This window comes from Homo sapiens, chromosome 1 (genome assembly GCF_000001405.40).
Source record: "Homo sapiens chromosome 1, GRCh38.p14 Primary Assembly".
NCBI classification, from domain to species: domain Eukaryota; kingdom Metazoa; phylum Chordata; class Mammalia; order Primates; family Hominidae; genus Homo; species Homo sapiens.
In genome coordinates this window covers 19,300,581-19,320,893 of record NC_000001.11, presented here as the reverse complement: position 1 = coordinate 19,320,893, position 20,313 = coordinate 19,300,581, and the positions used below count along the sequence as shown (strand labels likewise).

General features: G+C 51.7%; 2 protein-coding genes, 1 long non-coding RNA gene and 1 pseudogene across 17 annotated transcripts in view, besides 8 other annotated features; 2 read left to right on the top strand and 2 right to left on the bottom strand.

The window, feature by feature from the left end:
• The window catches only part of SLC66A1 (solute carrier family 66 member 1), a 22,138-nt gene extending 13,570 nt beyond the window's left edge, over positions 1 to 8,568 (bottom strand). For 6 of the 13 annotated variants that reach the window (NR_109848.2, XR_007061310.1, XR_007061311.1 and 3 more), the window contains exons 1-3: positions 8,536 to 8,568; positions 8,005 to 8,165; positions 3,053 to 3,294 (exon numbers count right to left, since the gene is read on the bottom strand). Coding sequence is in view for 5 of the 13 variants with exons in the window: in NM_017765.3 (NP_060235.2) it covers positions 3,053 to 3,216 (164 nt within the window). In the remaining 8 variants the exon portion in view is untranslated. Of the gene's footprint in view, positions 1 to 3,052; positions 3,295 to 8,004 lie in introns of all 13 variants that reach the window. The other 7 variants (XR_001737253.2, XR_001737254.2, NM_001040125.2 and 4 more) reach the window with 3 other exon arrangements.
• Positions 2,282 to 2,472: a silencer, noted in NCBI's record as "fragment chr1:19644916-19645106 (GRCh37/hg19 assembly coordinates)". NCBI's record gives its function as "represses an EF-1alpha promoter that drives an FKBP-Casp9 reporter gene in an ReSE screen in HepG2 liver carcinoma cells {active_cell/tissue: HepG2}" and the evidence as "EXISTENCE:reporter gene assay evidence [ECO:0000049][PMID:32094911]".
• Positions 4,865 to 5,034: an enhancer, noted in NCBI's record as "active region_298". NCBI's record gives its function as "activates an Ori minimal core promoter by ATAC-STARR-seq in GM12878 lymphoblastoid cells {active_cell/tissue: GM12878}" and the evidence as "EXISTENCE:reporter gene assay evidence [ECO:0000049][PMID:35858748]".
• Positions 4,865 to 5,445: a biological region, named in NCBI's record as "H3K4me1 hESC enhancer GRCh37_chr1:19641943-19642442".
• Positions 4,946 to 5,445: an enhancer, noted in NCBI's record as "H3K4me1 hESC enhancer chr1:19641943-19642442 (GRCh37/hg19 assembly coordinates)". NCBI's record gives its function as "activates a minimal SCP1, AML or CMV promoter by ChIP-STARR-seq in primed H9 embryonic stem cells {active_cell/tissue: H9 hESC(primed)}" and the evidence as "EXISTENCE:reporter gene assay evidence [ECO:0000049][PMID:30033119]".
• Positions 8,259 to 8,348: a silencer, noted in NCBI's record as "silent region_353". NCBI's record gives its function as "represses an Ori minimal core promoter by ATAC-STARR-seq in GM12878 lymphoblastoid cells {active_cell/tissue: GM12878}" and the evidence as "EXISTENCE:reporter gene assay evidence [ECO:0000049][PMID:35858748]".
• Positions 8,429 to 9,068: a silencer, noted in NCBI's record as "silent region_352". NCBI's record gives its function as "represses an Ori minimal core promoter by ATAC-STARR-seq in GM12878 lymphoblastoid cells {active_cell/tissue: GM12878}" and the evidence as "EXISTENCE:reporter gene assay evidence [ECO:0000049][PMID:35858748]".
• Positions 8,429 to 9,159: a biological region, named in NCBI's record as "H3K27ac-H3K4me1 hESC enhancer GRCh37_chr1:19638229-19638728".
• Positions 8,660 to 9,159: an enhancer, noted in NCBI's record as "H3K27ac-H3K4me1 hESC enhancer chr1:19638229-19638728 (GRCh37/hg19 assembly coordinates)". NCBI's record gives its function as "activates a minimal SCP1, AML or CMV promoter by ChIP-STARR-seq in primed H9 embryonic stem cells {active_cell/tissue: H9 hESC(primed)}" and the evidence as "EXISTENCE:reporter gene assay evidence [ECO:0000049][PMID:30033119]".
• AKR7A2 (aldo-keto reductase family 7 member A2) lies at positions 8,748 to 18,186 on the top strand. Of its 3 annotated transcripts, NM_003689.4 has the most exons (7): positions 8,750 to 9,067; positions 12,252 to 12,439; positions 12,632 to 12,736; positions 13,484 to 13,580; positions 13,793 to 13,892; positions 14,747 to 14,876; positions 16,508 to 16,929. In NM_003689.4, the coding sequence occupies exons 1-7, from the start codon at positions 8,770 to 8,772 to the stop codon at positions 16,667 to 16,669; spliced, it is 1,080 nt and encodes a 359-aa protein (NP_003680.2). In that variant the 5' UTR covers positions 8,750 to 8,769; the 3' UTR covers positions 16,670 to 16,929. The 3 variants fall into 3 exon arrangements, with proteins under 3 accessions (NP_001307908.1, NP_003680.2, XP_047289051.1); NM_001320979.1 differs by lacking the exon at positions 12,632 to 12,736 and having other exon boundaries at positions 8,748 to 9,067; positions 16,508 to 18,186; XM_047433095.1 differs by lacking the exons at positions 13,484 to 13,580; positions 14,747 to 14,876; positions 16,508 to 16,929.
• The window catches only part of LOC124903867 (uncharacterized), a 17,289-nt gene continuing 12,521 nt past the window's right edge, over positions 15,546 to 20,313 (bottom strand). The window contains exons 2-3 of the long non-coding RNA XR_007065521.1: positions 18,061 to 19,016; positions 15,546 to 15,683 (exon numbers count right to left, since the gene is read on the bottom strand). This is a non-coding gene — a long non-coding RNA (uncharacterized LOC124903867). The remainder of the gene's footprint in view (positions 15,684 to 18,060; positions 19,017 to 20,313) is intronic.
• Positions 15,713 to 15,817, top strand: RNU6-1099P (RNA, U6 small nuclear 1099, pseudogene; annotated as a pseudogene).

Here is a 20,313-nt window from a genome sequence, read left to right as displayed (position 1 = left end):
TAAAAATACAAAAATTAGCTGAGTGTGGTGGGAGGCGCCTGTAGTCCCAGCTCCTCAGGAGGCTGAGGCAGGAGAATCGCTTGAACCCGGGAGGCAGAGGTTACAGTGAGCCAAGATTGCACTGCTGCACTCCAGCCTGGGCAACAGAGCAAGACTACGTCTCAAAAAAAAAGAAGTGAGGCCAGGTGCGGTGGCTCACGCCTGTAATCCCAGCACTTTGGGAGGCCAAGGCGGGCGGATCACAAGGTCAGGAAATCGAGACCATCCTGGCTAACACGGTGAAACCCCGTCTCTACTAAAAAAATACAAAAAATTAGCCAGGCGTGGTGGCAGGTGCCTGTAGTCCCAGCTACTCGGGAGGCTGAGGCAGGAGAATGGCGTGAACCCGGAAGGCAGAGCTTGCAGTGAGCCGAGATCGCACCACCGCTCTCCAGCCTGGGCGACAGAGCGAGACTGTCAAAAAAAAAAAAAAAAAAAAAAAGACAGGCCACCAGTGTTGAGGAGGATTTGGAGAAACTGGAGCCTTCATATGCTTTTGGTGGGAAAGTAAAATGATGCAGCTGCTTTGAAAAACAGTCTGACAAATCCTCAAAAGGCTAAACTTAGAGTTAACATAGGACCCAGAAATTCTACTCCTAGGTATATACTCAAGAGAAATAAAAACATATTTCCCCACAAAAACTCATACCTGAAGGTCGGGCACCATGGCTCATACCTATAATCCCAGCACTTTGGAATGCTGAGGGAGGAGGATCACTTGAGCTCAGGAGTTCAAGACCAGCCTGGGCAACATGGTGAAGCCCCAGCTCTACCAAAAATATATACATAAATTAGCCAGGCATGGTGGCGCATGCCTGTATTCCCAGCTACTCGGGAGGCTGAGGCAGGGGAATCTCTTGAGCACGCCAGGCAGAGGCTGCAGTGAGCCAAGATTGCACCACCGCACTCCAGCCTGGGGGACCAGAGTGAGACCTTGTCTCAAAAAGAAAAGAGACGGAGACTCTCTCTTGTCCCCCAGGCTGGAGTGCAGTAGTGCAATCCTGGCTCACTGCAGCCTCTGCCTGGTGGGCTCAAGCAATTCCCCTGCCTCAGCCTCCCGAGTAGCTGGGACCACAGGCACGCGCCACCACACCCCGCTAATTTTTGTATTTTTAGTAGAGATGGAGTTTCACCATGTTGGCCAGGCCGGTCTTGAACTCCTGCCCTCAGGCGATCTGCCCGCCTTAGCCTCCCAAAGTGCTAGCATTACAGGTGTGAGCCACTGCACCAGGCAAAAAAAAAAAAAAAACATGAATGTGCACAGCAACATTAATCATAATGGCTACAAAGTAGAAACAACCCAATGTCCATCAATGGATGAATGGATAACCAAATGTGCTATACACAGAGTAAAACAGTATTCGGCCACAAAAAGGACTGAAGTACTGATCTGATACATGCTATGACATGGATGAATCTTGAAGACATTATGTTAAGTGAAAGAAGCCAATCACAACAGGTCCTGTGTGATTCCATTTATATGAATCATGAAATGTCCAGAAAAGGCAAATCAACAGAGACAGAAAGTAGACTAGTGGCTGGCAGGGACTGAGAGGTTCCGGGAGAAATGAAGAATGACTGCTGATGGGCATGGGTTTCCATTTGGGCTAACGAAAATGTCCTAAAATTAGTTGTGGTGACAGTTACACAACTCTGGCTATACTAAAACCAATGACTGTACACTGAATGGGTTAATTGCATGAAATGCGAATTCTCTCCCAATAAAGCTGTTAAAACAATGTCAAGCCCCTGATCAAACCCTTGTCTTTATCCCTTAGGATAAAGAGCACATTTCTTAAGAGCAGAGCATGCCGCTTAGGCCACAGGGCCTTTGATGACTCCTGTGACCTCACCTCTCCCTTCCCTGACCCCCACACACTCTGTCCACTATATAAACGCAGCTGCCCCTTCTCTGTACATCTGCTGCTTCCTCTGCCTGAACTGCTCTTCCACACTCAGCCCCTGGCTCTCACCCCCAATGCTGTCCTATCCTTGGCTTTTAGCCTAGAGGCCAACACCTCCAACTCCCTTCTTTTTTGTTTTTAATTTTAATTTTTTTTTTTTTTTTGGTAGAGATGGGGGTCTCACTGTGTTGGCCAGGCTGGTCTCAAACTCCCGACCTCAAGTGATCCTCCTGCCTCGGCCTCCCAAAGTGCTGGGATTACAGGCGTGAGCCATTGTGCCTGGCCTCCAGGTCCTTCCTGACTGTAATCTTCTTCCGCCTCTGCAGATCAGGTGGGTGTCCCTCTTCTGTGCTTCATGTAATGAAATACTAGCAGTGTCACCACTGACAGCTTTCAGGCTTGTGCAAACATTGTGTGAAGGCCCTGAGTGGGCAGCTCTCCCTACACACCCTCATGCCATCCTCACAGCAACCATCTAGTTAGGTAACAATATTTCCATGACACAAGCAAGGAAACTGAGGCTCAGAGCAGTGAGGTGACACGCCCAGGTCAAGATGCTCTTGACCCCTGTGCAGCATGTCCTCACTCCCTGATCATGGCAGCGGCCACACAATGTTGTGTTCACTGCTGCTGTCTCCACCACGAGACTGTCAAAGTCTGGAGGACAGAGGTTGTGTTTGACGCATCCCAGCCCTCCCACTCTCCCGCCCCATCTCTGACCAGCTGTGTGACCTAAAGCAAATTGCTTAACTTCTCTGGGTTTTGGATCCCTCATCTATAAAATAGATGGATGGTAACTGTCCCTGTTTCACAAGGTTGTTGTGAGGATTAAATGAGGTAGAAATATGGCAAGTGCTTAGAAGCAAGCCAGGTATATGGTGGGCACTCAATAAACTGTTGCAAAGGTGATGATCTCTGTATCAGCACTGCCCAGCACTAGGTCTGACCTGCGGTAGCAATCAGTGCAGGTCCCTGTCGAGGGAACACACCCCAGCCTCTAGTCTGGAGAGGCCCGTGGCCCACCAGACAACCCCTCGCTGAGCAGTAGCTGGAGCCACTGCCTCAACCCCACAGCCCTGCCCTGGTCCTGCCACCAAGACACTACTCACGGGAAGGTAGATGCAGCAAAGCAGAGAATGGAGATCAAGCCCAGGCCCACGCTGGCCTCGTCCCAGCCGTCCTGGGCACATTCACCCAACACATCCCATATCCACTGGATGGAGCCACTGGGGCAGCTGGAGAAGTTGCGGGAGCCCAGTTTCTTCCAGACCATGGCTGTGGAGGAGGGGCCCCCGGCCAGGCAGGGCTGCACCGGAGGGAGGGCGCTGGTGTTCTGAGGCCAGCAAGGGTTCTACAGGGAGGAAGGGAGGAGGCTTTCAGCACTGGGAGGTCCAGGTCCTATTCATGGTCATCCCAAACTAAGCTCATCCCAGCCTTTTCACGGGGCTCCTGGCCCTGAGCCAGAGAAGGGCAAAGACATAATCTTCACCCACCAGGACCCAATCAGCTCCCAGGTGCACAGATCACAGCAAACACACGCCAACTACAGACACATGCAGGCAGCGTGCTGGATCTGCAGAAGGGACGGGTGTGTTCAAATCCCTGCTTCATCACCCATTCATGCTAGACTTTGGGCAAAGACTCAGCCTTTCTGTGCCTGAGCCCTCTCATCTGTAAATGGGGTCATCACAGTGCTGCCTCCCACATACAGCTGTTGTGTGGGTTCAGTGAGTTCATACACAGTGTGTTGAACTGAGCCCTCGATGTTACCTTTTCCTATGACTCTTGAACACTTAGGGTATTCCTAATTTCTTGTTATTATTGTAAATTACTCTCTAAGGATCTGCTGAGGCCAGGCCCATCAAGTTCATCTAATTTAAAGCAGGTTGTAGCCACGAATGATGGCTCATGCCGGTAATCCCCACAATTTGGGAGGCCAAGGCGGGAGGACAGCTTGAGCCCAAGAGACTGAGACCAGCCTGGCAGCCTGGGCAACATAACAAGACCCCATCTCAAAAAAAAAAAAAAAAAAAAAAAGAGGTGACAGAGCAAGACTCCCTCTAAAAAAAAAAAGAAAGAAAGAAAGAAAGAAAAAGAAAAGAAAAGAAATACAAAAATTAGCCAAACATGGTGGTGTGCACCTCTGGTCCAAGCTACTCAGGAGGCTGAGGTGGGAGGATCACTTGAGCCCAGGAGGTACAGGCTATAGAGAGCCATGATCACACCAATGCACTCCAGCCTGGATGACAGAGCAAGACCCTGTGTCAAAACAACAACAAAATAAGGGCTGGGCACTGTGCCAGCACTCTAGGAGGCTGAGGTGGGAAAGATTACTTGAGCCCAGGAGTTCGAGAACAGGCTGGGCAACGCTGTCTCCATGAAAAATTCAAAAATTAGCCAGGTGTGGTGGCACACGCTTGTAGTCCCAGCTAGCTACTCAGGAGGCTGAGGTGGAAGAATCGCTTGAGCCCAGGAAGTGGAGGTTGCAGAGCAAGCCATGATCATGCCACTGCACTCCAGCCTGGGCGACAGAGCTGAACCCTGTCTTAAAAGAAAACACACACACACACACACACACACACACACACACACACACAAACCATAAAGAGTTGCCCCACACAGATGAGGCAAGTGGAGAAGAGGAGCAAGGGATCCCCGGGGTTGCATGAATGACAAGGACTCAAGTTTGGGACGATGCAGCCTGTATTCTCCCAGGAGCTCACAGAGTGTGGGGGGGATGCCTAACAGCAGGGAGTCCACAGCCACCTCCCCACCGTCACAATGACAAAGCCAGAATATGGCTGATCGCAGGGGTGGGCAGGGCAGGCCTCTCCCGCTACCCGGGCACCCTGGACAGTGAGTAGAGCAGTCATTGCCTGCGTGACACCTTAGAGGAGGGAGGGAAAGTGAGGCTCGGCTGGGCCATCTCCATCAGTGATCATCACCACAGCTCGGACCGGTGAGCCAAGCATCCTGCATGCACTCATGTTGCATCTTCCCAGCAACTATGAAGTGGGGACCACTGATATCCACAAGGAGCCTGAGCCAGAGTGCGGAAGTGATGTGCCAGCGCCACCCAGCCAGGAAACTACAGAGTCAAACCCAAGACTCAGACCTACACCCCTGCTCATAGCCACCTGCCACACCACCCGCCTCAGGTCCATCTGTCACCAGCGAAGCAGAAGACTTCTGTGGCTCGAGAGAGAGAGAGGGAGAGAGGGAGGGAGAGAGAGAGACAGAGAAGCCTCTGTGGTCTGGCATGACTGCACAGCCAGAAAGTGGGCTTCCTCTTTTTTCCCTGTGCTCAGAGGGGATTTCCTCATCCAGGTGGGGGCTGTCTCTAGCTGCCTTCATTCCCACTTGTGTCAGGAGGCCTGGGCTCCCCAGCTAGTCCCTGGCTGGCCCCACGGAACTGCTGAGGACACAGAGACCAGGGAGCACCGGGAGGGAAAGGAAGTGAGTCAGCACCTCCTCTCAGGAAGCCGTAGACCCTCAGCCCTAATGTGACTCGCTGTGGGCAGAGACCCTGGACCTAAAGGTAAGGGTGCCCCAGGTCACTGTCAGCCCAGCTCACTGGACTACCTCCAGGGCCTGGCACAGGCAGGGAGGCTGAAAGCCTCTTCCCTGTGTCTTCGTGGCCCACCTGGGGGACCATCAGCACAGATGATGTTGGAAGCCTTCACCTGATGCTCCATCTCCGGCCCCTGAAAGGCCACTCCAAATTAACATATAGTCCAGGTGTGGCCGGGCGCAGTGGTTCACACCTGTAATCCCAGCACTTTGGGAGGCCAAGGCAGTTGGATCACTTGAGCTCAGGAGCTGGAGAACAGCCTGGCCAACATGGTGAAACACCATCTCTATCAAAAATACAAAAATTAGCCAGGCGTGGTGGGTGCGTGCCTGTAATCCCAGCTACTCAGGAGGCTGAGGCAGGAGAATCACTTGAACCCAGGAGGCAGAGGTTGCAGTGAGCTGAGATCGCGCCATTGCACTCCAACTGGGTGACAGAGCAAGACTCTCAAAAACAAAACAAAACACAAACAAACAAAAAAAAAACCATATAGTCCAGGTGAGAACTACACGTTTGCAAGGCCAAAGGCATTTCAAATCAAGTCCTCATGTTCTCAGCCACCACTGCCAACTGGGGTGCACCCCCACACCCCCTTGCAGAGTCTGAACACAAGGCTGCAGCTCATCCACTGCCATCCTCACCACTCCCCAGCAAGGTTGGGTATACTGTGCTCATTTGACAGGTGAGGCTGAGCAGCCCTGGAAGTGAATTAACCTGCCTGAGCCTGTCCATAAAATGGGGCTAACGACACTCACTCCTTGGGGCAGCTGCCCTGACTAAATGCACATAAAGCTCTCAGCCCTGTGCCTGACAACACATGGCAGCGACTGTTTTCAGGATGAGAGTCCAGCATCTCAACCACCTTGGGGACTCTCCCTCTCATTTCCCCCTTTCCCCAGGTTAGGGAGGAAATGAAATGGACACATCTCAGCATGTGTGTGTTGGGGGGTTGTCTCGAGGAAGGTACCTTGGTTTATGGCCCCTGCGGCCTCTCTCTCACTTCCCCCTTTCCCTAGGTTAAGGAGGAAATGAAATGGATGCACCCCAGTATGCGTGCGTGTTGGGGAGTTGTCTTGAGGAAGGTACCTTGGTTTATGGATCCAGGATACTGGGTGGGTGTCCCCCTGACCTTGGACAGGACCCATGTGCAATGTGGAGCTCGGGACACTCTGAGACACACCTGATCCCTGAACAGAAAGGCCTGGCTCTGAGGGCCATCCTGCGTAGTTCCTGTCACCTAGAAGCCAGGCATGGGCCCACATCCTGTTCAAACAGCTCTGAGCAAATGGATGTCCAAGGTTGCAATGGAGCTTGACCTCACCTGCAGGGATGGGAAGGACCCCAGAAGCGGTACCCTGGAATCACCCTTGGAGGGTGCATGTTCAAAATTTGGAGTCAGTGCACCTGGGCTGGGGCTTAGAGATTCTGGGTTTAAGAAGCCCTCCAGCGATTCTGCTCCATCTAGTGCACTTTGAGAAAGGTTGGGCTGGAGATGACATCTCCTGCCACACCCAAACTCCTCTCCCTGATCCCAAGCTGAGTCAGGGTGCTTCGGGCACATGATCACAGCCAATCATGTGTCCACCTTTGTCTACAGGATGAAGTCCAAATTACCTGAGGCTAGGCCTCAAGTTACTCCAAGAACTGCCCTCCCAACCTTATCTCCTGCCTCCTGACCCACGTCTTCAGTCATTTCAGGTCTCCAGGCTTCTGCACGTGCCATCTCTTCCCCTAGAAGTGTCCTGCTCCCCTTCAAGGGCCTGGTCATGAGATAAGAAGACTCACTTCTAAATTGCCCTTTCAAAGATGCCCCATGAGAGCTGGCTGGACAGGACCTTCCACCTCCTCCTCTCCCCTTGTCCACACACCTGAAGAACGCTACCACCGTCCTCTGCGACCACTGTCTTTGAAACGTACTCTCCCCACCCTGGGTTGTGCATTTCTTATTCTCCAGGTGTAAACACACCTAGAGGTTCAGCAAATGTTGAGAGACAGTGAGAGAAAGAGAGAGGTAGAGAGAAGGACAGAGTGAAGAAGAGAGGAAACGGGTGAGAAAGGAGAAAGGGTGGAAGAGAGAGAAGAGGAAGGAAAGGAGAAAGGAAGGGGAGAAAGCTGTGAGCTCGAACAGCCCAGGGTTGAGGAGAAAAGCACTCTGGAACAGACCTGCCCGATGCCTACCAGTCTGGAACTCAAGTGATTGAGCTTCGTAGTTCTCATCTGAAAAGTAGGGGAATAATGCAATACCCACCACCTAGGCTGACTGCAGAGTTAAATGAGACAATCCAGGCCAAGCGATTACAAGGGTGCCTGGCACTGGCACTCAACACCAACAGCCCAAAATGACTATTATTTGTTCTCATTGTAGCCCCTCCAGCGTCCGGGCACACAGGCGCCTTCAGTAAGCGTTGATTAGACATGACCTGTGACCCAGGCCCGGGACCCCTCACACTTCCAGACTCAGACTCTCCATTTACACGTTTGGAAACCTACCCTAAGCACGGCGTGGGAGGAGGCAGTGTAGGCCCTCGGTCCCTGCAGACCTGGGGAGATTGTGGAGGGAGGAGCGTCCCAGCTCGGGGCTACCACCCACTCCAGGCCTCGGCGTCCTCGGCCACAGCTCCCTCCTGGTGACTCAGCCCGGCGCGGGCCGCCTGTTTGGAGGGATAATGATAGGACAGCTGCTGGGGCCAGCGCCGCGAGGGCCCCTCGCCCGGCCGGCCCGGGAAAAACGAAGCCATCAGATGCCAAGGGGCCGGTCGGCCGGGGCAGGGCAACTCCTGGCCAGGCCAGCTCGAGAGGCCGCGCTGGTCGCCTTTGAGGTGGGGGGCCACTGGCTGCGGATTCCCGAGGGCCACCCAGTCCCGGCCCGGAGCCTCGTCCCACGATATCGCGCCACAAGGAGGGCGCAGGAGCCGGGACAGTCCAGCGGCCGGAGGAGAGGGCTGGAAGGATGTGGCAGGGAAGCCCAGGAGCCCCGACCCCCAGCCGTGAAGTTTGCCACCTGCCCCCGGTCCGGCTCACCACGTCCAGATCCGCCGCCAGGGCCCAGCTTCTGGGTCAAGGCCCGCCGGGTCAGCTGACCGCGCGCCACCGCCCCCGCGGGAACCGCAGGCCCCGCCCCCACGCCGCGCGCTGGGCTGACCGGGCCTGGAGGCGCCGCTGGGGCCGCGCCTGTTGTCCCCGCCCCCAACTGCCTCCGCGCTCCTCCCCGGCATGGGCGGGGCCCCCGGCTCCCAACGCGCAGGCGCCGCTGCTATGCTGAGTGCCGCGTCTCGCGTAGTCTCCCGCGCCGCCGTCCACTGCGCGCTTCGCTCTCCGCCGCCCGAGGCCCGCGCGCTCGCCATGTCCCGGCCACCGCCACCGCGGGTCGCCTCGGTGCTGGGCACCATGGAGATGGGGCGCCGCATGGACGCGCCCGCCAGCGCCGCGGCCGTGCGCGCCTTTCTGGAGCGCGGCCACACCGAACTGGACACGGCCTTCATGTACAGCGACGGCCAGTCCGAGACCATCCTGGGCGGCCTGGGGCTCGGGCTGGGCGGTGGCGACTGCAGAGGTAACAGTAGCTGCAGATCCTCCCCATGCATCGTGTAGAGCTGAGCCTGTCCCCAGCCGTGCACCACCCCGCTCGGGCCCGGCCGCGGGCAGCACCGACGGATTCGTCCCTCGCTCCCCACCCCAGGTCCACCCCGCAGCTCTGGGAACCCCGGGACAACTAGACAGTGCTTTGCCCTGACTCCTTTCCCCCACTCTCCTTCCCTTGGGAGTTGCAGCGCGAGAGTCTCCCCCCAGCCTGGTCTGACCCATCGCTTCCCACCTCCATTGATGCCCCCGCCTCCAAACCTGCCAGGTGCCCACAACCGGTCCCCACCCAGGCTCTCCCCCTTTTCTCTACCCCTTCGTTACCATCATCACGCATGCACACCCTGGGCACCCTTTTCTCATCCTGGCCTTTTCTTAACCACTAGAATTTGACCTGTGCAGCTGGCAGTACCTCTGCCTCTCTCAGGGAGAACTGTGGCGATGCCGTAAGGCTGGCTGGGAGAGTAGGAGTGTTAGGGAGTGCGGACGGGTCAGGGTGTAGGGACTTTCTATCCACTCTATGCCAGGCTTTGACTTGGGGCCATAGGAGGGAAAGTGATTCCAGCCCTCCACAGGGAGTTCAGAGTCTAATGAGGAAGATTGAAGTAATGATTGCTGGAGAGCCCAGAAGAGAGAGTACTTTAGGGAGCTGCAGGCCGGGGAGAGGCACTAGGGAAGGCTCAGCAAATGCTGGATGGAGCTCAGCCTTAAAGGCTCAATGGTAGGTTGGAGGAGAACAAGAGAAAGGAACATTAGAGTCTGTGCAAAGACTTGGTTTGGAAATGCAATGTGCGTGATGTGTGAAAGGAAGGCCACTGGGCAGGTGGGGCTTGAGTGGAGGATGGAGGGGACTGTCCCTCGTGAGCCTGGTGCCCTTGATAGCCCTTGGGAGGGTGCCTGGCACTCAGTGAGGGCCCAGGGAACGTGGGCTGTTACCCTTACCATGCTTCACCCACTGGACTATCCTGAGGCTGTTGCTCCCCACCCCTGAGGAGAGGTTCTCTCTGGGTCCTCCTGAGTCATAGCGCTTGGGGGGTCGGGGGGAAAAGAGGGCAAATGTGAATCTCAGGCCCACGCTGTTTCTAGTTCACCTGGCTGCATGTTGTTGTTTTTGTTATTATTATTATTTGAGACGGAATCTTGCTCTGTCACCCAGGGTGGAGTGCAATGGCACGATCTCAGCTCACTGCAACCTCTGCCTCAGCCTCCCAAGTAACTGGGATTACAGGTGCACACGGCCACGCCCAGCTAATTTTTGTATTTTTAGTAGAGATGGGGTTTCACCATATTGGCCAGGCTGGTCTTCAACTCCTGACCTCAAGTGATCTGCCCACCTCAGCCTCCCAAAGTGCTGGGATTATAGGTGTAAGCCACCACGCCCGGCCACGTTACATACTATTAATAATGAAGATTTTGTTCCTGAGTTGGTTTTTCTTCTCTAACCCTTCCCCGCTTCCGTCTTTGGGGCCAGGAGCTCACTGAACCAAAGTCCTCAGGCCAGGCCTGAGGCACAGTTCATGCCAAGAATGCCTGGGGCGTTGTGGGGAAATGGAGAAAATCTGGATGAGAAACTGTGGAACTTGTTCTGTCCCATATCCCAACTGATCTCGTGACACCCTTCTGAGCTACTGAGCTGACTTTGCTAAGTATGAAAAGTGCAGAATCCATCCCCCAACCAATCCAGACAGCTGGGGTTCTTTTTTTTTGTTTTGTTTTTTGTTTTTTGACACAGAGTCTCACTCTGTCGCCCAGGCTGGAGTGCAGTAGCACAATCTGGACTCACTGCAACCTCTGCCTCCCAGGTTCAAGTGATTCTCCTGCCTCAGCCTCCTAAGTAGCTGGGGTTACAGGCACGTGCCACCACGCCTGGCTAATTTTTGTATTTTTAGTAGAGACAGAGTTTCACCATGTTGGCCAAGGCTGGTCTCGAACTCCTGACCTCAGGTGATCCACCCACTTCAGCCTCCGAAAGTGCTGGGATTACAGGCGTGAGCTACCTTTCCTGGCCCAGCTGGGGTTCTTTTTTAATTTTTATTTTTGTAGAGGGAGGGTCTTGCTACATTGTCCAGGATTATCTCAAACTCTTGGGCTCAAGTAATTCTCCCTACTCAGCCTCCCAAAGTACTCCCAAACTAGGTTTACAGACTTGAGCCACTACATCTGGACCAACAGCTGGGGTTCTTTATAGGGGAAAGAATAGTGCAGAATTAACTCATTTCCAAGCTGCTCGGATGCAGAACACTGTTGTCATAGCGATGTGTCCCTACAGTGTTTGGATATATGCTCATGCTTCTGTGAGTCAGGAAGGGGAGGGGAGAATTATAATTACATTCTGCTCAGTTTGCCTTCTAAGCTCTCAAGTTGATCTCTACCACTGGGCCACATTTATGTGGCTGCTTCGCTTTCCTAAACTCTTCCAGGCCTGCCCCCTTGACTTCTTTCTCTATACTGCAGCCAAGTGTGAACACAGGTGACCGGTTCACACCCTGACAAAATCTGGAATGATCAAGTTCAGATTCAGTGGGATGGTATTTAAGAACTTTTGGGATGAGGTCTGTCCCTGTCTCTTGTCCTACGTCCCACTGCTCCTTGCTCTAGAATTTATGCTCTTATAACTTAGACTTGAAGGTTTGGAGCCTCACATAGTGTTTTTTTGCCTCTTTGACTTTGCATGGGTTCCCATGCTCTGGAGTGTACTTCCTGCTCTTCCTTGTTGGCTGGGACTCTGGGAGTGATCCCCTAGAGAAAGCCTTCCCTGGAGTCTCCAAGTTGGCTTCATGCATCTCATCTGGGCTCCTTGGCATCGTGTGCCTTTCCCTCCTGTGCTTACCATATTGTACCATCATCCTCTAGGGCTCCAGGAGGGCAGAGATCCATTGTGTTCAGTTCATCTCTGCATACTCAGTCTCTAGTGCAAGGCCTGGCACAGCCAGCAGGTTGGTGACTAATGATAGTTATTCTAATAGGTGAACATTGAGAACTCACATATATGACATTATTTAATCCCCAGGACCTCCCAATGAGGACAGTTTGATTATTATCACCCCATTTTACAGATCATACAATTGAGGCCAAGAGAATATTAGTAATTTAGCCAGGGTTACATGGTTAGCAAATGGCTCTAATAGGTCACTTAACCATTCCATTCTCTCTCCAAGTGAAAATTGCCACCAAGGCCAACCCTTGGGATGGAAAATCACTAAAGCCTGACAGTGTCCGGTCCCAGCTGGAGACGTCATTGAAGAGGCTGCAGTGTCCCCAAGTGGACCTCTTCTACCTACACGCACCTGACCACGGCACCCCGGTGGAAGAGACGCTGCATGCCTGCCAGCGGCTGCACCAGGAGGTGAGGGGGCCCTCCGAGCTCCAAAGGTGGGCTCCTGCTCCTTTCTTTATCCTGATCCTACTCATGAGAGCAGAGGCACCAGGGCAGTCCCAGGGTGGGGCAGGGAATAGCCCCATTCCCTGGGGCCCCACCCTGGCCTCCCCTTCCTGGTCTGGGCTACACTGCGTTCTGACTGGAGCCTCACCCATGCAGGGCAAGTTCGTGGAGCTTGGCCTCTCCAACTATGCTAGCTGGGAAGTGGCCGAGATCTGTACCCTCTGCAAGAGCAATGGCTGGATCCTGCCCACTGTGTACCAGGTGAGGGCCGGGGCTGCAGAGGCCAAGGTCTCCAGGACTCCTGCTAATCCTGGGCTCTCTTTGCCCCCCTGACTGCCCCCTGTGCCGTCTGCATAGCAGCCACTCCCCTGCTGAAAGCCTGCAGATGGCTCCCATGTACCCTCAGGATGCCATTCAAGCTCCTCAGCCTGGCCACTGGGCATCTGCTTCCTTCCTGCCTATCTGTGCACCTTGGACCCTTCCTTCCCCACCTCCTTTCATACTTCAGCCTGGAACACATTTCCCCTGCCCTCCTCCCTGGGAGAAGCACTCAGGCCTTACATAGAGGTCTCCTCCTCTGGAAGCCTTTCTAGACAGCCCCATAGGAGTCTCCAGTCTCCAAATCTCATCTTCATACATTCAGCGAGTACTTTCCAGCTCCTTGTTTGATTGTAGAACCTAACTTTATTGTAATTAACTGCCTTCCTTGTCTATTTTTTTAAACTTGAGTAAACATCTCCTGGAAGCAGGGATTTTGTGATACCTACTTGTGGTTGTAACCAGTGTCCAGCATGGAGTTCATACAGCAGATATTTGTGGAAAGATACCATTCCACTTCAATTTTCTGTCCTTGGGCCCAACACCTTCCCTCCATCCCCTACTAACAGTAGTGATGTTAGAATATTGCTGAAGTCCTGGGCCGGTGTTGCTTTAGAGGTTTGAAAGTGGAAGGCAACAGTTCCTTCTCTTGACATGTCCACCCTGTCCCCGGGGTCCCTCTCCCTGCAGGGCATGTACAACGCCACCACCCGGCAGGTGGAAACGGAGCTCTTCCCCTGCCTCAGGCACTTTGGACTGAGGTTCTATGCCTACAACCCTCTGGCTGGTACGTGGAGCATTCCTGACCCTGTCTCAGCCTATTCCTGACCCACAGATGCCCAGCCCAGAATTTATGAAGCAGGGAGGGTTTGACAAGAGGCTGGGCTGTGTTCTTCAGCCCCTCCTGGGTCCCTGCCCCTCCCCTAGACCAGAGCCCTGAGGGATGTGGCAGCTTCTGGGGCACTCTGGGGCCAGGGGCTGATTGCTGCCTTCCCGCAGGGGGCCTGCTGACTGGCAAGTACAAGTATGAGGACAAGGACGGGAAACAGCCTGTGGGCCGCTTCTTTGGGAATAGCTGGGCTGAGACCTACAGGAATCGGTGAGCCGGGGGTGGGCTTGGTGAGGATGGCTGGGGTGGGGTCAAATCTATGTGGAATGAAGTCCTGGGCTGTTCCTGAGGTAAGACCTTCCTTTGCTGTTTGCATCTCCTCCCCTGCATTGCTTCAGGAATTCCCAAGCCCTCTGTGGGTTTTCTTGTTGTCTTGAGACCTCTGGGGGGGAAATGAGGATCCCTGGATGTTGGGGTCTTGAAGTCATAGCTCGTTCCTGAGCAATCACCTGCTGGGAAGCAAAAAGCGAGCCCAGGATGGGCCAGGCATGGTGGCTCACACCTGTAATCCCAGCACTTTGGGACACCGAAGTGGGAGGGTTACTTGAGCTCATGAGTTCAAGACCAGCCTGGGCAACATGGTCTCTACAAAAAAAAAATGCAAAAAAGTGGTCAGGTGTGGTGGTGCACACCTGTCTGTAGCCCAGCTACTTGGAAGGCTGAGGCAGGAGGATTACTTGAGTCTAAGAGGTTGAGGCTGCAGTGAGCCATAATGATGCCACTGCACTCCAGTGTAGGCAACAGAGTAAGACCATGTATCAAAAAGCAAAAAGAGAGCCCAGGAGGGAATCCTGCCCCATCTGAGCAGCCTTCGTGTCCCTAGGGAAGTCCCTAGGCTACTGAGTCCTCAGGAGTAAAGATCCATTGAGGTCTCTGCTGAGGGGCCCAGCATCCTGGGTGGTTCTGATGCCCAGCAAAGTGGGAGACCTATGACTAGAGAGGACACCCGCCCCTCAGGGCTGCAGGGTGTGGGGTGGGGCAGTGGTCCTGGATGGCTATTTGGTTGCGGCTCCCAGTGTGACCCCCATGGTACTGACCCCTGTGCTAACATCCCCTCTGCACAGCTTCTGGAAGGAGCACCACTTCGAGGCCATTGCGTTGGTGGAGAAGGCCCTGCAGGCCGCATATGGCGCCAGCGCCCCCAGTGTGACCTCGGCTGCCCTCCGGTGGATGTACCACCACTCACAGCTGCAGGTAACCAGCGACCCTGGGTGCTCAGCTTCTTCCCTTCCAGGGGGACCAGCGTCACCTTTAGGTGAAGCCCAAAGCATTTGATTTCTGAATTCCTCTGAAATTTTTCTTTCTTCCAATTCTCATAAGCACTCTTCCCACTGGTCTTTGATGGTATCTGAGTGGAGGCTTTGTAGTGAGGGATTTTCATTACAGGGATTTTCTTATTCCTTAGGCTTTCTGAAGTATGATTATCCCAGTGTTATTGATGAGGAAACCGAGGTTCACCCAGCTATTAAAGTGGCAGACATTTTAACACAGGTTTAACTAAGACCCACCCATCTCACCCTTTTGGTTTCTCTCTCTTGATGCCTCATGTCTTCCTGGTTAAAACTTATTTCCTGATCAGTGGCAGTGACCCACACCTGTAATCCAGCACTTTGGGAGGCCGAGATGGGAGGATTGCTTGATCTCAAGCATTTGAGTCTAGCCTGGGCAAGAAAATGGGACCCTATCTCTACAACAAATCAAAAACATTAGCCAGGTTGTGATGGCTTGCTCCTACGTTCCCAGCTACTCTGGAGGCTGGGATGGGAAGATGGCTTGAGCCTGGGAGGTCAAGGCTGCAGTGAGCTGAGATTACACCACTGCACCTTAGCCTGGGTGACAAAGCAAGACCCTGTCTAAAAAAAACAAGCAAACAACAATGAAAATAACAGCAACAAACTTATCTCCAGCTTCAGCCTTCCATGTTGCATAGTGTCTGGCATATATCCGGTAGATGTTCAGTACGTGGGAGCTGTGTTTTACATAAGTTTTCTCATTCCAATGCTGAAAACAGAGAAAAAGATTGAATGTCATGCCTGCATCGACAGCACATATACTAAAATTGGAATGATACAGAGAAGATTAGTATGGCCCCTGCGCAAGGATGACACGCAAATTTGTGAAGTGTTCCATATTTTTCCGCTGCCACCACCACACCGCACTACCTCCCACCCCCTTTTGTGTACAAAACACAAGGAAAAATATTTTTGTTTGAAAAAAAAAAAGATCGAATGTCAAAACAAGCTTAATAACGTAGCCTGCTTTTTAATTTTTTTGAGACAGAGTCTCACTCTGTTACCCAGGCGGTAGAACAGCAGCACACTCATAGCTCACTGCAACCTCAACCTCCTGGGCTCAAGTGATCCTTCTGCCTCAGCCTCCCTAGTAGCTGGGACAAGGCATGCACCATCACCCCTGGCTAATTTTGTTTTGTTGTTTTTTGTAGAGACAGAGTCTCTCTCTGTTGCCCAGGCTGGTCTTGAACACTTTGGCTCAAGTGTTCTTCCCACCTTGACCTCCCAAAGTGCTGGGATTGCAGGCATGAGCCTCTGTGCCCAGCCAACTTAGCCATTTTTACACAGCTGCTGGGGGCAGAACTGGGCTGTGAATGTAGTTCTGTGTGGAAGCGTCGTGCGGCAGTAGGGGAAAGGATGCGGGTTTCAAGTCACGTGGGTACAGCTATCCAAGGCACCTTAAGTCCTTTCTGGACATACAAGATATAAATATAAACAGAGACCCCAGATCTCAGCAGGGAGGTGGCTGGGACGGCTGTGAGTGGAGTCGCTGTGCAGCAGAAGAGGGTTGAAGTCTGGCCGTCTCCCTTGCAGGGTGCCCACGGGGACGCGGTCATCCTGGGCATGTCCAGCCTGGAGCAGCTGGAGCAGAACTTGGCAGCAACAGAGGAAGGGCCCCTGGAGCCGGCTGTCGTGGATGCCTTTAATCAAGCCTGGCATTTGGTTGCTCACGAATGTCCCAACTACTTCCGCTAGGCCCATCATGGCTCAGGCTGCCCAAGGCTTTTCTGTCACCTCTTTTGTTCTCTCACACTGACCAGTCTTGGCCTTAAGCTGACTTAGAAGGGTTTTTCTGAATTGTCTAGATCCATGCATTATTTTTCTAGCTTCCTGCCTTGCTCCCTATTCACTTTACACTGTGAAAGGTGGGGGGTGAGTCCCACTTGAGCGCTTCCTGTTGAATAAAGCAGGCACTTGACCTGGCTGTAGCCTAGGTCTTGAGTGAACCCCAAAAACTTGCTTTCTCTGCTGTTAACACTTTGTTTCCCATCCTACCTGGGGACTGAGAAAGGGCAGAACCATGGGCTGGAGTCTTCAGAGGGCAGAGGTAGTAGGAGGGTCACAGAAGCACACTGCCCTCCCAGGGTCTCCTCGGGCCCCTGGTCTGAATACCCACCTGACCTCTCAACATTGAGGTGTCTCTCACTCTTCTACACACGATAGAAAAGAGAGTCATACACCTGCAGTACATTTTCTCTAATTCAGAGTTGCCTCAATACATTCTTAGGAATGAAACAACTGGGACAAAGAAACTACCATTAGAGTCACTACCAAGAAGAAGAACACTTCCCAGGATCTGTGGAACATCTTGAAGCTCTCAATCTTAGCCTCCTCTTGTCTTAACTAAAGCCTCTTGTCTTTTCACCCATTAGGTTCTCAGTCTTGGCTCTGGGCCTCCTGTTCGGCATGGGGACAGACATAGGCAGCCAAGGTCCTCATTTCCCTTGGAAACCCCTACTCCAAACAGGAGGCACCAAGGCTGAGAATAAGAATCCTTGGTTCAGTGGTTGCTGAACCTGCTGCATTCCCAGTGCACCAAAATCCCTCCAGCCATGGGCAGGGCAGCAGGCAGCACTTGGAGCAGCTTCTTGAAGCAATGAAAGAGGCCCAACCTGGAAATTTACTTTTTCATTTATATTTATTATTTGTTCTTGAGACAGGCTCTTGCTCTGTCACCTAGACCGGAGTACAGTGGCATGATCACTGCTCACAGCAATTTTGACCTCCGGGGCTCAAGGGATCCTCCCACCTCAGCCTCCCGAGAAGTTTTTATTTTTATTTTTTTTGTGGAGTGGAGATCTCCCTATGTTGTCACCGTCTTTTCTGTTTACCCGTAACAAAACAGATGCTCACCCATGTGGAATGGTGTATCAGTTATCTTTGCACAACAAACCACACTAATAAGTTGCTTGAAAAGATAAAATCCAAGGCTGGCACAGTGGCTCATGGCTATAATCCCAGCACGTTGAGAGCCCAAAGCAGGCAGATCACTTGAGCTCAGGAGTTTGAGACCAGCCTGGGCAACATGGTGAAACCCTGTCTCTACCAAAAATACAAAAAATTAATCTGTGTGTGGTGGCACATACCTGTGGTCCCAGCTACTCTGGAGGCTGAGGTGGGAGGATCGCCTGGGCCCCGGAAACAGAGGTTGCAGTGGGCCGAGATCATGCCATTACACTCTAGCCTGGGTGACACAGTCAGACCCCATCTCAAAAAAAAAAAAAAAAATCTTATTGATCAAAAGATTTGATATAATTCCTATTATTCCCAGCTGACTTTTTCTTAATACTGAAATTGACAAACTAATCCTAAAGCTCATATGGAAATTCAAGGGACCCAGGAGAACCAAAACAGTCTTGAAAAACACATAGTTGGAGGACTTATACTTTCTGATTTCAAAACTTACTACAAAGCTACAGTAATAAAGACAATGGTTCTGGCATAAGAATAGAGCAACTGAACAGAACTGAGAGTCCAGAAATAAACTCTTACTGATTTTAGAGTTGAGTGACAACTCAATAGGGACAGTTCAATAGGGAAAAGAATCATCTTCACCAACATCCAGATGTCCTGCTGTGAAAGAGTGAAGTTGGACCCCTTCCCCATACCATAAACAAAAAATTAACTCGAATCACCATCTAAATGTATAAGGTAAACTATAAAACTCTTAGAAGAAAATACTTGAGTCAAGTGTGACTTTGGATTAGGCAGTGGTTTCTTAGATGTTGACACCAAAAGCACACGTGGCAAAAGAAAAAGTAAAGTCAACACCATCAAAGATGAAAGTGTTCGTGCTTCAGGGAACACTATCAAGAAAGTGAAAAGACAACCCAAGAATGGGATAGTATTTTGCAAATCACATATCTGTTAAGAATCTTGTATCTATTCTAGCTATAGGACTCTTACAACTTAATAAAAGAGAAAACCCACCTGGGTGCACTGGCTCACGCCTGTAATCCCAGCACTTTGGGAGGCCAGGCGGACGGATCACTTAAGCCCAGGAGTTCAAGACCAGCTTGGGCAACACAGCAAAACCCTGTCTCTACAAAAAATACCAAAATAATTAGTCGGGTATGGTGGCGGGCACCTGTGGTCCCAGCTAATCGAGAGGCAGAGGTGGGAGGATCTCTTGGGCCCAGGAGGTGGAGGCTGCAGTGAGCCAAAATCAGACCATTGCACTCCAGCCTGGGCAACAGAGCAAGACCCTACCTCAAAAAAGAAAAAAAAAAAAGAAAAGAAAGAAATCCCAATTAAACAATGGGCAAATTATTGGAATAGACCTTTTTCCAGAGGGCATACAGGTGGTCAGTAACCACATGGAAAGCTGCTCAAAATCAGTACTTATCAGGGAAAAGCAAATCAAAACCCCTTCAAATCTGCTAAGCACTAGGATCATCAGAGTCAATAAAATACAGAAAATAACAAGTGTTGAGGGTTTGGAGAAATGGGAGACTTAGGACACCGCCATTGAGACTGTAAAACGGTGCAACCATTTTGGAAAACATTCTGGCAGTTTTTCAAAAGATTAAGCATTTATATGACCCAGAAATTTCACTCCCTAGGTATACCTAGAAGAAATGAGGCTGGGCGCAGTGTCTCACGTCTGTAATCCTAGCACTTTGGGAGGCCGAGATGGGCAGATCACCTGAGGTCAGGAGTTCAAGACCAGCCTGGCCAACATGGTGAAACTCCATCTCTACTAAAAATACAAAAATTAGCCAGGCGTGGTGGCACACACCTGTAATCCCAACTACTTGGGAGGCTGAGGCAGGAGAAGCGCTTGAACCTGGGAGGCGGAGGTTGCTGTGAGCCGAAATCTTGCCGCAGCACTCCAGCCTGGGTGACAGAGTGAGACTCTGTCTCAAAAAAAAGAAAAAAAGAAATATATGTCCTTATTAAAAATTACGTGAATGTTATAGCAGCATTATTCATAATAGCCAGAAAGTGGAAACTGCCCAAATGTCAATCTTAATAGGTGAATGGATAAACAAAATATCTGTATGTACAATGGAACATTTTTCAAAAAAAAAAAGGAATTAAGTATGAAACATCTACAATGTGGATGAACCTTAAAAACATGTTAAGTGAAAGAAGCCAGTCACAAAAGGCCTCATATTGTATGATTCCATTTATATGAAGTATCTGGAATAAGCAAATCTATTAGACACAGAAAGTAGATGAGTGGTTGCCTAGGACTGAGAGGGAGTTTGGGAGGAAATGGAGATTCACTGCTACTGAGTACAGAGTTTCTTTTGGGGAGGTGATAAAAATGCTCTGAAATTGACTGTGGTGGTTGTACAATTCAGAATACACTAAACACCATTAAATTATACACTTTA

Coding starts and splice junctions, on each gene's coding strand:
- AKR7A2 (NM_003689.4), top strand. CDS start 8,770: ATGCTGAGTGCCGCGTCTCGCGTAGTCTCCCGCGCCGCCGTCCACTGC. Junction 9,068..12,251: donor GGGCGGTGGCGACTGCAGAG/GTAACAGTAGCT, acceptor TCTCTCTCCAAG/TGAAAATTGCCACCAAGGCC. Junction 12,737..13,483: donor TCCTGCCCACTGTGTACCAG/GTGAGGGCCGGG, acceptor CTCTCCCTGCAG/GGCATGTACAACGCCACCAC.